At 40.5% G+C, this 14,462-nt stretch overlaps 1 protein-coding gene across 20 annotated transcripts in view; it reads right to left on the reverse strand.

Annotated features, from left to right (window-relative positions):
- The window catches only part of KIAA0319, a 106,051-nt gene that overhangs the window by 62,029 nt on the left and 29,560 nt on the right, over positions 1-14,462 (reverse strand). The window lies entirely within an intron of this gene.

Below are 14,462 nucleotides of genomic sequence, written 5' to 3' on the forward strand. Positions count from 1 at the left end.
CCACACCCGGCTAATTTTTGTATTTTTAGTAGAGACGGGGTTTTGCCATGTTGGCCAGGCTGGTCTCGAACTCCTGGCCTCAAGTGATCTGCCCGTCTTGGCCTCTCAACGATTACAGGCGTGAGCCATCATGCCCAGCCTATATTTCATGAATTCTAACACATAAATATTTTCACATTTTACCATTTCTGATATCAGGATGTCCTACAGTTGCAGATGGCCACATGCCAGGCCGGAAGTGGATGGCATTGTTTATGCATGCACATCAGCTATGCAGAACCGGGGTCAGAGGCTTGGAAGAGCATCCCAAACACAACATAAAGCACTCTCTTAAGAAATGCTGCATCCTGGCCGGGTGCGGTGGCTCACGCCTGTAATCCCAGCACTTTGGGAGGCCAAGGCGGGTGGATCACGAGGTCAGGAGATCGAGACCATCCTGGCTAACACGGTGAAACCCCGTCTCTACTAAAAATACAAAAAAATTAGCTGGGCGTGGTGGCGGGCGCCTGTAGTCCCAGCTACTCGGGAGGCTGAGGCAGGAGAATGGCGTGAATCCGGGAGGCGGAGCTTGCAGTGAGCCGAGATCACGCCACTGCACTCCAGCCTGGGCTACACAGCGAGACCCCGTCTCAAAAAAAACAAAAAAAGAAAAGAAAAAAAGAAATGCTTCATCCCCCAAAGCTCATGATGGCACGCAGGTAATATGTGGAAAACCAACGGGTATCAATAACTGCATTGACAAGTTATTGGGCAGGAAGAAAATTTAGGAATACCTTCATGTGTCAGTTATATGTTCCTTTTTACATATGCACAAGAATGATTTATGATAAAAATTTGTCTAAATAAGCACCCCCCTCAATCTCTTTCAATTTGTTTAAACATTCTAAGTGAGAAGAAAGTGGTAAATCTTGGCTTAATTGACAGCATTCTTTTCCTTAGTGGTATTTAAAATAATCATGCATTTTATTAAATACAGTCATTAGTATCTTACATTTCATTGAATTTAGTTAATATAAGCACTTTATTTTTGCCTGGTACTTTCTCAGTGTGATCTTCACCACAACCCAGACATATTATTATCTCTGCATTAGGTGATAGAATTGAGGTTCAAAAAAGTGAACTGGTTTGCCCAAAGTAGAAGAACCAGTACAAGGCAGTCTGGACTTGGATCTGTACTCCAAGTGCTTATTATTTCAAATACATAACAAAGGCTCCCAGGAGGAAACACACAAGTTCATGTTCAAAAAACCTAGATAAGGTTTCCTAATGTGGTGTCAGAATCCCACTGTGAGTTGCAAGATGGTATGTTGTAATAAACTAGATTTTAGTTCCAGTTCACACCAGTCTCTTCCACCCACTCCTTCATTCCTCCTCCCTCCACGCAGAGGATGTGTGGATAAAACCTTATAGGAGGACAACACTCTTCCGCACCCCTGTTTCCAGAAGCACTGCAGTACTTTTAGAAATGTGTAAGTGTTGTAGGGATGAAAAAGAGAGGGAAACACCCCGACAGATGTCTCCAGTCAGTTATTTAAGAACTCTGTGGCAGCCTAATGGGGGCAGGAAATAACCAGAAAGGACAAGGAGCCTGCAAACAAAATCAAACACATAACATTCTCTTAAGATGGTGTCTGGAAGTTCTAGGCCTTGTTTTTGAGTTTAATCGAGAACCAACTCAAATCACGAGAGTGCCGCCCGTTGAAATGCACATAGGGGACTGCCGTCGACCACACCGAGCACAGCTGCTGCCTAGCCTAACACCATCACTGGCCATGCTCTGGGTAGGTGAAAAGGGCCTTTAAGGTCCAGAGATGGGCTGAGTTAGACCAAGGGACAGGAAGGAACCAGACTAAAGGTGAGCTAAGGTAAGGTCAGGAGGTGGGTGTAACACCTCTGTGTCAGTACAACGGACCTGAGGCCATCAGAACACCTGCTTTGATAAGGTAAAATGGAGAAAGAAAACAGTAAGCATTTCATAACATTCATGCCTAAAACCCTAGAGGAAGAATACCTGGTTCTGCAAAGTTTGCCACCAATAACTCCCTTTGCTTCCAGTGAGGAAAGTATGTTAGAGATGGGAGGTGGAAGGGAAGACTGGCCATCTTCCATCTGCAGCCATTGACTACCCCCTAACCAAAGGGCAAGAGAAGAGCAACTGGCCTCCCAGAAATGACATTTATTCAACTGCCCAAGGTGCTGGGGCCCAGAATAGCAACACTGCTATCAGCCAGGGACCACTGGTCAAGAATCCCATGGATACAGATTGGGCCTCCACCATACCATATGGTACCTTCAGGCAAATTAAGAAAAGGCAGCTCTAAGAGAAGATACTGCTCTGAAGGAACACAGTTTGGCAAATGGACTATAAGCCAAATTCCCAATCCCATGCCCCTTTGGTGAATGCCTTTGGTTGTGCAAGGTACAACTTTCACAACCATATTGTACCTGGAAAGCAATTTATTGTCATTATCTCAGTGCAAACATTACAGGTGCTCAGCATAAAAAGCATTTCCTCTTCTCAATACCATATTTAAGGTTCTTTCTTTGGGGGTACTTTAATGTAAGAAGACAATGTGTCTCCATTTCCTCAACATTAAAAGGCATATGGACTAGATGTTATCAAAAATTCCTTCAGTTCTAATAGCTTATAAGTGTTGCTCTTTTGTTTTTGTTTTCGTTTTTTATTTTGGGACAGAGTTTCGCTCTTGTCACCCAGGCTGGAGTGCAATGGTATGATCTTGGCTCACAGCAACCTCTTCCTCCCGGGTTCAAGCGATTCTCCTGCTTCAGTCTCCCAAGTAGCTAGGATTACAGGCGCCAACCACCATGCCCAGCTAATTTTTGTATTTTTAGTAGAGATGGGGTTTCACCATGTTGGCCAGGCTGGTCTCGATCTCCTGACCTCAGGTGATCCACCCGCCTTGGCCTCCCAAAGTGCTGGGATTATAGGCATGAGCCACCATGCCCGGCCAAGTGTTGCTGTTTAAATACATAGTTAGTACTTTATGGATTAAATAATCCTTCACCTATATTATCTTATTTGATCTACTTGTAGGAACTGTTTCTGAGTTAGGAGTTCTCATTCCCATTTTACAGGAAAAGATGCTGCTGAGTTTCAGAGTCAGTCTTTATACTCAAGACCTCAAGCTTTCACTGTGGCACCCCCACCCTCTTTGATAGTTCTGTGAAGTTCATCCATTCCACTGTGGATTACTTAAGACTTTCCTTACTTATTATTCAGTCTCCGAATGACCCAGTTCTCTTGCTGGACCCATGCTCTCTCCTGCTGCTTGCCTTTTGCCCACCTCACTGTAGTTTTCTGTCTTCATTAAAAGGGAAGAAAATATTTAAAGAATTTACATAGAAAGCCTGTCAAGCTCTTTAACAATTTTGATCAAAGGTAAAGTTTAATCGAGTGACAAAATAGAACTTTTAAAATAAGCCTTCACAAGTTCAAAATGTTATAAATAGTACAAGCCCATATATCCTTCCATAAACTCTGCATGGATCAATTGTATACATGTAAAGATCTGAAAGGAAATGTCCCCCCATGGTGAAAACTGGTGAGAATAATATATGCTTTTTTTCTTTTCCTTTTTTGCTTCTTTTCTGATCTGTATTTTCTATTTTTTTCTAAACTGAACACATCTTACCTTTGTATTAATAAAATACACTTATAGATTTCATTTTTATAGAAGACAGTTATTTTAACATGGTCATTCTGACATAGGTTTTTAAACAAAATTACTGAGAGATGTTGGAATGGATGTTTCTTTTTTTTTTTGAGACAGAGTCTCACTCTATCACCAGGCTGAAGTGGAGTGGTGCAATCTCGGCTCACTGCAACCTCCGCCTCCCGGGGTTCAAGCGATTTCCTGCCTCAGCCTCCCAAGTAGCTGGGACGACAGGTGCCTGCCACCATGCCTGGCTAACTTTTGTACTTTTTTAGTAGAGACAGGATTTCACCATGTTGACCAGGGTGGCCTCAAACTCCTGACCTCAAGTGATCTGCCCACCTTGGCCTCCCAAAGTGTTGGGATTATAGGCGTGAGTTACTGCGCCTGGCCGGAATGGGTATTTCTGACTCCTCATATTTCTGGCCATATCCTGTTCCTCAATCTCATTCCTTCTCTAGGCTTCCGATCATGCATGACCCCTAGGCCATCTGAGAAGCCTCACCCCAGCTGAATTCTTTCCCTTCTTTGGGTGACGGTGATGACATCACTGATTCAGAGATGGGGTAAGGCTCGGGACTGGTGTCAGAGAATGAATGAGATGTGGGAATGAGGTGAGCCCAGAGATGGGGCCAGAAATGGGCAAAGCACAGAAGGGTATTCAACAAGTACTGATGGATCACTTCCTGTGCCAGGACATGGACAAGGGAGGGATGAAGGTCTAGGATGCAGAGAATGAGGCTCAAGGATAAGATGAAGGTGACTGTGGCAAAGATTGCCTGTTCAGTGAACATTCTCCATTTATTCCTTAGTAATAAAACTCACATAATTATCTGGGGCCCCAGAATACCCAGCTAACAGACTACATTTCCCAACCTCCCCTCACCCTTTGCAGCTTAGTGTGGTCATGTGATTATACACTGGTCAAAGAGACAGAAAAGGAACTATTGAATAAAACTTCTGAGGGAAGCTCTTTTTGTCCTCCTCATCTTTTCTTCTTCCTGCTGCCTAGAACAGAAAACAAGGTCTGCTGCCACAGCAGCCATCTAGGACTACACAGAGGCCTTGAGAAAGCAAGCCAGTGCTGGGAAGATGGAAGGAGCTGGGTCCTTGAAGACATGGGACTGCCTACCAGCCCTGGACAGCCAACCTTTGAATTCTTGAGGAAAAAATAAACTTTTCTCTCATTTAAGCCACTGCTTCTCTTGAACATTTGTTTCTAAGAAGCCAGGCCAGGTGCGGTGGCTCATGCCTGTAATCCCAGCACTTTGGGAGGCCGAGGCAGGTGGATCACCTGAGGTCAGGAATTTGAGACCAGCCTGACCAACATGGTGAAACCCTATCTCTACTCAAAATACAAAAATTAGCTGGGCATGGTGGCACATGCCTGTAATCCCAGCTACTTGAGAGGCTGAGGTGGGAGAATCACTTGAATCCGGGAGGTGGAGGTTGCAGTGAGCCGAGATCGTGCCATTGCACTCCAGCCTGGGCAACAAAAGCTAGACTCCATCTCAAAAAAAGAAAAGAAAAAGAAAAGAAAGAAAGCCAGACCTAATTTTATCTGATAAGTGACACTATTTGTTTTTCGGTTTTTTTTTTTCCAGTTTATGGGTTATAAAATACTTTGGTTCAGGTAAGATCAAAGCAGACACCTACAGTGAGTAATGGCTGCTTTATGGACAATGCAAATACTATAAAGCCAAATGACAGTCTAATAATTTTTAAAATGGCAGATATACCCTTGTATTCTGGAATCACTTATATGGTAACTAACATATGCTTCCTTATAGAAGCAATTAATTTTTTAGGTTTATGTATATTTTCTCTTCAACTAAATTGTAAACTTCCTGAGGAAAGCGACTAATTTAAAACATAAGCTGATACATTTATACTTCCAGGTTTTACTTATTTCTCATCTACTAATAGTAACAATTTTAGTTAAAAAATGAATGCTTAAGTATGCATTTTAAATAAAAATATGTTCCTTTAGTTAAAAACATTTTTTAAAATGCCATGATTTCAAAATTGCTGCTCTCCATGCCAAATAACTTTGCAGTCCCCAACTGTGAACGAACTAATTGGCAGCATACTAGAAAAAAGATGCTTAAATGCCAATTTAAGTCTCAAGGAGAAAACAATTTAAAAAATAAACAGAAGATTAAATTATATCCACATCGCTTCAAATTCTAACAATTAACAACAACTAGGTAGAAGATGTAACAGAAGACTATAGCAATAAAAAATACAGAAAACATAATAGAGGACTATAGCAACAGCAACAGACAAAAAATAGAAGACCTAAGGCTGACTTTAACAAGGTATTTGCACATCTATTTTAAGACAACTTTAAAATGCTACTGAGGAAAAAATAAATAAATAAATAAATAAAATGCTACTGAGGAACACAAAAAAACCTTAAATAGATGGAGAAAAATCTTAAATAAATGGAGGAAACCATGAATAAATGTTCTTGGACAAATAGTCTCAATATCATAAATATATCAGTGTTTCCTAAATTAATTAAAATGGTGCTGGCAGAATTTTTATTTGGGTGAATGAAAAACTAGAAAAAATGAATTTTAAAGTGCACATGGGAAAATTAACAAGAAAAAAGGCCAAAATTTTTTGAAAAATGAGATAATTGAGGGAAAACTGGTCCTACCATATAATGAAATATATTATTTTTAAAAATCATTAAAAGAGGATGGTACAGGTGCAAAAATGGATCACTGAATGGTACAGATATTCAATAAATGGATCCAAATACTTCCAAGACCAAAAGACATGATTAAAAATCGCATGTCAGGCCAGGCGCGGTGGCTCACGCCTGTAATCCCAGCACTTTGGGAGGCCGAGGCGGGCGGATCACGAGGTCAGGAGATCGAGACCATCCTGGCTAACACGGTGAAACCCCGTCTCTACTAAAAATACAAAAAAATTAGTCGGGCATGGTGGCAGGCACCTGTAGTCCCAGCTACTTGGGAGGCTGAGGCAGGAGAATGGCGTGAACCCGGGAGGCAGAGCTTGCAATGAGCCAAGATCATGTCACTGCACTCCAGCCTGGGCGACAGAGGGAGACTCCGTCTCAAAAAAAAAAAAAAAAAAAAAAAAAAAGGCATGTCAAATCAGTGGAGAAGGCCAGGTGCAGGGGCTCACGCCTGTGAGCCAACCGCTCACAGTTTGGGAGGCTGAGGCAGGTGGATTGCTTGAGCTCAGGAGTTAGAAACCAGCTTGGGCAATATTTCAAAACCCCGTCTCTACTAAAACTACAAAAATTAGCTGAGTGTGGTGACAGCCACCAATAATCCCAGCTACTCAGGAGGCTGAGGCACGAGAATTGCTTGAACTTGGAAGGTAGAGGGTGCAGTGAGCCGAGATTATGCCATTGCACTCCAGCCTGGGTGACAGAGCCAGACCCTGTCTCAAAAACAAAAAAAAAAAAAAAAGAAAAAAAAAAAAAGAAAGTCCGGGCGCAGTGGAATCCCAGCACTTTGGGAGCCCGAGGCAGGCAGATCACGAGGTCAGGAGATTGAGACCATCCTGGCCAACATGATGAAACCCCGTCTGTACTAAAAATACAAAAATTAGCCAGGCATGGTGGCACATGCCTGTAATCCCAGCTAATCAGGAGGCTGAGGCAGAAGAATTGCTTGAACCCGGGAGAGGAGGTTGCAGTGACCCAAGATCACGCCACTGCACTCCAGCCTGGGCAACCAGAGCGAGATTCTGTCTCAAAACCAACAAACAAACAAACAAACAAAAATCAGTGGAGAAAAGGTAGGTTATTAAATAAATTGTATTGGAGAAACAGGTAGCAACTGAAAAAAATGCTAAGCTGTATCCCTGAACCAGATAAATTTATCTTTTTTTTTTTAGCTTTTACTTTTACAAGTGTTGAAATAAATTTCTGATGAAAAGCACAGGCCCATAAAAGCACTACAAGAAACTATGAGCCTGACTTTTGACAAGGGTTCCAGGACAATTCAATGGGGAAAGAATAGTCTTTTCAACAAATGATGCCACAACAAACAGATACCAACATGCAAAAGAATAAAATTTTACCCCTACCACACAACATATACAAAAATCAACTCAAAATGGATCGAGACCCAAATATCAGAGCCAAAACTACAAAACTATTAGAAGAAAACATGGGTGTAAATCTTCATGAACTTTGATTATGCAATGGTTTCTTAAATATGACACCAAAAGGACAAATGATAAAAGAAAAAATAGATAAAATAGACATCACCAAAATGAAAAACTTTTGTGCTTTTAAGGACACCATCAAGAAAGTGAAAAGACAGCCCACAGAATGGGATGAAATTTTTGCAAATCAAAAATCTAATAAGGGATTTGTATCTAAAATATACAAATAAGTATTATAATTCAATAATAAAAAGACAAATCATTTTAAATATGAACAAGAACCTGAATAGACAGTTCTCCAAAAAAAGATACATAAATTGCTAATAAGCTCATGAAAATATGCTCAATATCATTAGCAATCAGGGAAATGCAAGTCAGAGAGACAATGAGATACCACCTCATACCCACTAGCATGGCTATAATAAAAAAGACAATTAAAAACGTTGTCAAGCATGTGAGAAATTGGAATCCTCATACATTGTTGGTGTGAATGTAAAATTGTGCAGCCACTTAGAAAATAATTTGGTAGCTCTTCAAACAGTTAAACAGAGTTACTATATAACCCAGCAATTCTACTCCTATGTATATACTCAAGAGAAATGAAAACATATAGCCACAAAACAATGTGTACATGATAAGGGAGTTAGGCCTGGCAGGGTGGCTCATTCCTGTAATCCCAGCACTTTGGGAGGCTGAGCGGGGAGGATCGCTTGAGCCCACGAGTTTGTGACAAGCCTGGGCAACATAGGCTGAGCCTATGGTTTTTTTGAGCCAAGCCTCCCTCAAAACAAAAAAAAAATTGTACATGAATGTTCATAATAGCCAAAAAGTAGAAACAACCCAAACATTCATCAACTGAAAAACGGATAAAAATAATGTGGTATATCCATGTAAAGGCATAGTAATAGGCAATATAAAGGAATGAAGTACTAATACATGCTAGAGCATGATAAACTTTGAAAATATACTAACAAACAAACAAACAAACAAAAAAACCCAAAACATTATGCTAAGTGAAAGAAGCCAGAAGCCAGTCAGGAAGAACCACATATTATTTGATTCCATTTATATGAAATATGCAGGATGGTCAACTCCACATAGACAAAAAGTAGATTAGTAGTTGTTCAGGGTTGGGAGATTGGAAGAAAATGGGGAGTAAATTATAAGATGTACAGTTTTTGCTTTTTTTTTTTTTTTGAAGTAATGAAAACATTCTAGGCCAGGGGCAGTGGCTCACGCCTGTAATCCCAGCACCCAGCACTTTGGGAGGCCAAGGTGGGCAGATCACCTGAGGTCAGGAGTTCAAGACCAGCCTGGCCAACAGGCTGAAACCCTGTCTGTACTAAAAATACAAAAATTAGACAGGCATAGTGGCGGGCGCCTGTAGTCCCAGCTACTCAGGAGGCTGAGGGATGAGAATCGCCTGAATCCGGGAGGTGGAGGTTGCAGTAAGCTGAGATCGTGCCACTGCACTCTAGCCCGGGCGACAGAGAAAGACTCTGTCTCAAAAAAAGAAAAGAAAAATATGGCTAAATTGTATCCACTAATAAAATATATGGTTGTCTTAAATGTTCATGGAAAATCACCATAAGCACAGTAGAAGTGTCAACAACAAATTGGGAAAATATTTGCAACTCACATTGCAGACAAAGGATAATTTCCCTAATACATAAGAGAACTTTCAAATTAATAAAAATTCAATAGAAAAAGTCTGTCAACAGACAGAACATAGAAAAGAAAATATAAGCGCATTTGAAATACATTAAAAGATGTTCAGGCCCGGGGGCACAGTTGCTCACCCCTGTAATCCCAGCACTTTGGGAGGCTGAGGCAGGTGGATCACTTGAGCCTAGCATTTCAAGACCAGCCTGGACAACACAGGGAGAACCTATCCCTTAAAAAAAAATAATTAGTGTGGCATAGTGATATGGACCTGTAGTCCCAGCTACTCAGAAGGCTGAGGCAAGAGGATCACTTGAGCCCAGGAAGCAGAGGTTGCAGAAAGCTGAGATCACACTGCACTCCAGCCTGGGTGATAGAGTGAGACTTTGTTTCAAAAAAAAAAAAAAGAAAAGAAGAAAAAGATGCTCAAATTTACTCACAAAAAGAAAAATGCAAATTAAAACAGTGAGATGCCATTTTTTACCTAAGAGATTGTCACATATGGAAAAAGTCTGGGCCAGGCATGGTGGCTCACACCTGTCATCCCAATACTCTCAGAGGCCCAGGCGGGAGGATCACTTGAGTCCAGGAGTTCGAGGCAGGCCTGGAAAACACAGCGAGACCTCATCTCCACAAAAAATAAAAGAATTAGCCAAGCATAGTGGCACCACCTGTAATGCCAGCTACTCGGGAGGCTGAGGTAAGAGACTCACTTGAGCCTGGGAGGTCAAGGCTGCAGTGTGCCCAGATTGTGCCACTGCACTCCAGCCTGGGTGACAGAGTGAGACCCTGTCTACAAAATAAAGAAAAAGAAAAGATGGAAAAAAGAAAGAAAAACTAGAAACAACCAAATGTGTGTCAGCAGAAAACCAATTAAATAAACTATGGTCTGGTCATAAAATGAAATACTTTGCATTAGTAAAGAAGCTCTTCATGTACTGTTATATACCAGCACCTTTTGTTAAGTGAAGAAAGAAAGTGCAGAATGGTATATACAGTACTCACCTCTTGTGGGAAAGCGAATGGGGTGGGAAAAATATAAATATAAATTTGCTAGAAAATGTATAAAATATCTCTGGAAGAATTCACAAAAAATTTTTAACATCTGTGCTGATGAGGGGAGAGAGGGCTCAGGGAGAATTTTTTTGTTGTTGTTGTTTTTGAGACTGAGTCTCACTCTGTCGCCCAGGCTGGAGTGCAGTGGCACGATCTCCGCTCAATGCAAGCTCCGCCTCCCCGGTTCACGCCATTCTCCTGCCTCAGCCTCCCAAGTAGCTGGGACTACAGGCGCCCGCCACCACGCCCGACTAATTTTTTTGTATTTTTAGTAGAGACGGGGTTTCACCACGTTAGCCAGGATGGTCTCGATCTCCTGACCTGGTGATCCGCCCGCCTCGGCTGAGAATTTTTTTTAAAAACAAATCGCCTTTTGTATTTTGTGAATTATGTGAATGTTTTTAATATTTAAAAAAATAAATTTAACATTCCTGCCTTTACTTTTGGTCGCTGAGAGCTTACATCTACTCGGCATTAAGAGCTTCGAGTGAGTAACACCAGAGAGCAGTAAGAAAAGACCTGGGTTAAATGCAGGAAGGGAATCTGCGCGTAACACAGAGAGGGGTGGAGGATGAACAGGGTGGGCAGACTTAGCAAATGAAAATACAGTGCAGGATTCCCAGGTAATAATTGAATTTCAGGTGAATAATTTTTTTTTTATTCTGCAATATTTGGGACATTATTATAGTGTTTTGTCTGGCAACTCTAACTATGAGAAAATGCCCATGTGCCCTGGGCAGCCCATTTAGAACTACAGCTCATGTATTTCTCTCCCCAGAAGATCTACAAACACAACACTATGAAGAGAAAGAGCTGACATTTACACTTCACTCCTAGAAGCAAAAGCTCAACCCAGATTTCAGTCCATATCCTGAATCCCCACTGATTTCTGAAATCACTTAATGTAAGCACAAACAACTGGTTAACAAGAGAAAGAACACAAGGAGGAACAGGCAGATCATTTGAGGGAAAAAAAAAAAACAAAATGAGGGAAAGACCTAGAAAACAAACCACTGAACAAAAGGAATGGATTTTAATTTTAATTTTCAATTTTTTTGCATTGAGCAACCTTTATTTCAAAGAGATGGAATTACCATGCTGCTCTGAGACAAATTATTTTTCAGAGCCGGCTAACAGCTTTCATCTCAGCTGGGGCTGAGTGTATGAAAAAAAATCCTGTATGTGACAGCCAGGATTCAACATATCCAGAATCTGATATTTATTTCTTAACTGCCTTGTTTTTTTGGTAAGGCTTGCCCAAAACTATCCTGTGGATAATAGGAGGAAATATATTATTCATAGATTTCTCTTTCCATTTCACCGCAGTTGAGTTTGCTTTTGATTTCAGAAAAGTAGCTGTGACCAATAAACGCAGGTCAACTAAAAACAACCCCAAGATACCCCGTGGCAGGTTTCCTAAGACTGTGATGAATTGCGAGCATGTTTCACAGATTGATTCAAATGTTGGAAGGAGCCAGCCTTAGCAATTCCTGACATATGCCAGGACAGACGCCTTGGGAGAGGAAGCAAATGCTCCCAACTGTGTCTCCATGCCCTTCTCTTCGCCTCCCGGTCTTCTTTCTATCACCTCCCAGTCGCCCAGTGCTCTCTCCCATACCCTGGAAATATCCAGCTCAAAAGCCAGTTATCTATGCAGCCTTCCTCAGCTTCTCAAACACAGCCTCCAAGCTGAGGTCATTGTTCCCTCCTCTAGACAAGTCCCAAGGCTAGATTATCACCACAAGTGCAACTATGTATAAAAATTGTAATTCACATTTGTAAAAACTACCATTCATTCCATAATGTTCCTGGCATTTTACGTCCATTAGTTTTAATCCTTCGGGAAAAAAAAACAATTAAATATTACTGTCCCCACTTTATAGATGATGAAACTGAAGCTCAGAAAGGCTAAGGTATCCAAGAATTAGATCCAATCTGGGTATGTCTGACATCATAGAATATGTTCTTTCCCTATGCTATGCTGCATATGTGTCTCTCTCCTTCACTTAAAAAAAATCAATTGGGTTTTCTTCTAATTTACAAAAGCAATAAATATTTATTATAGAGAATCCAAGCAGTTAGGTGTAGCAGAGTGAATGGCATTGTTTTACCAGCCAGCCCCTCGCTGTCATTATCCTCTCTGCCAAGTGACCTCACTATGTCATCATCACTCAGCATCTCGTTGCCTGGTTCCCATACATCCCATTGTAAGCCACAGGGCAGGGGCTCTGTCTGGTTGCAACTATATCCCCAGGAACTATAGGAGGGGTTGGTACATAGTAAGAGCTCAAAATTTATTCAATAAATGTATGAATGAATAAATGATTGATAAATCTCCTGAATAATTAAAAGTGAACTGTAATATACAGTATTTAGAGTTAATTGTAATGAATTTTTAAACAATTACATTAATTTACATTATACAGCTTTTTTACTTTGGTCTTTACTTATTTGCATCCATCTGAAGTTACAAATGTACATTATAGCATTATGAATAATAATAAAAGACTGGAAACAACCTAACGTCAATTGACAGGAGACTGCTTTAACAAATTATGATATAGCCAGGTAATGAAATTCTATGCAGCTCTATATACACATTGGTATTATTGAAATCTCTAGATATTAAGTAAAAAATGCAAGGAAAGTCAGTGACTATAGTAAGCTACCTTTATGAAGAAGAAAGGAGGATATTTATTTCTGTATATCCTATTTGCTTGTATTTGCAAAAAAAAAAATACAGAAGAATATAAAACAAACTAAGAGAAGTGATTATGTGTGGAGGGGAAGAAAAGGGAAATTAGTCAGGTGAGACACAAGGGTGGGAAAGAGACCTCCCACAGAGTATGTTTTTACTCTAGATAATGTGATATGCCCTATAAATATTTTAAGTTAATCACTTTTAAAGGCAAACAGTGTTACAAAACAGCAGTTCCATGCCTATTCTCTCCAGCCCCAAGACCTACTCTGAAGATATAACCACCTTTAACACTTACAGCTCTTCTTTCTGTTACTTGCCTCCACCTTTTAAAAAATAATTTATATCACTATTTCTTGAGCTTTCCATTTCAAACATTCTCTTTTGCATCTTACTATGAAAGATGAAGACTTAGTCACCTCCTACCATGCTGCACACAGACACATACACACATCACCCCTTCTCTACTTCTCTCTCACGGTTCTATTATTGTTTAATTCCATCTATAGTCAGTATATCAAAGAGGGAGTCCCTCTTAAGAAAAAATATTATCAGAAATATGAGTTTCTCTGGTAAGCAAGATGAACATCTATCTTTTAAACAAGGCAGTGCTTTCTAGAACTGAAAGTCCAATAAGACAATTGTCAAAGTGAATAATTTTTCCAGACCCTTCCACAGAAGACATTGTTTGTAGGTATTAAAGACTCTGTTGTATGTTGTTTTAATACTCCTTGGAAATATTGCTTAAATACAAGGCTTTACAAAAATTACTGGTATGAAAATTGAGGATATTTTTAAAACCCAATTAATAATGTAAAACATCCAGTATGATCCTCTTGAGGTATCCTTAAAATTCATATATTCAAATACCATACAAGTCTAATTTATCTTGATGTTCTTAAGATGAGTAATTTACTTAAGTTTCTTACTGGAGTATGATTTTTAATAAGGTTATTATATATTTTTTTGAGACGGAGTCTCGCTCTGTTGCCAGGCTGGAGTGCAGTGGCGCCATCTCGGCTCACTGAAACCTCCGCCTCCCGGGTTCAAGCGATTCTCCTGCCTCAGCCTCCCGAGTGGCTGGGACCATGCACGACACCACACCCAGCTAATTTTTGTATTTTTAGTAGAGACGGGGTTTCACCATGTTGGCCAGGATGGTCTCGATTTCTTGACCTCGTGATCTGCCCACCTCGGTCTCCCAAAGTGCTGGGATTACAGGC

The sequence above is a fragment of the Homo sapiens genome, chromosome 6 (assembly GCF_000001405.40).
Source record: "Homo sapiens chromosome 6, GRCh38.p14 Primary Assembly".
Taxonomy (NCBI): domain Eukaryota; kingdom Metazoa; phylum Chordata; class Mammalia; order Primates; family Hominidae; genus Homo; species Homo sapiens.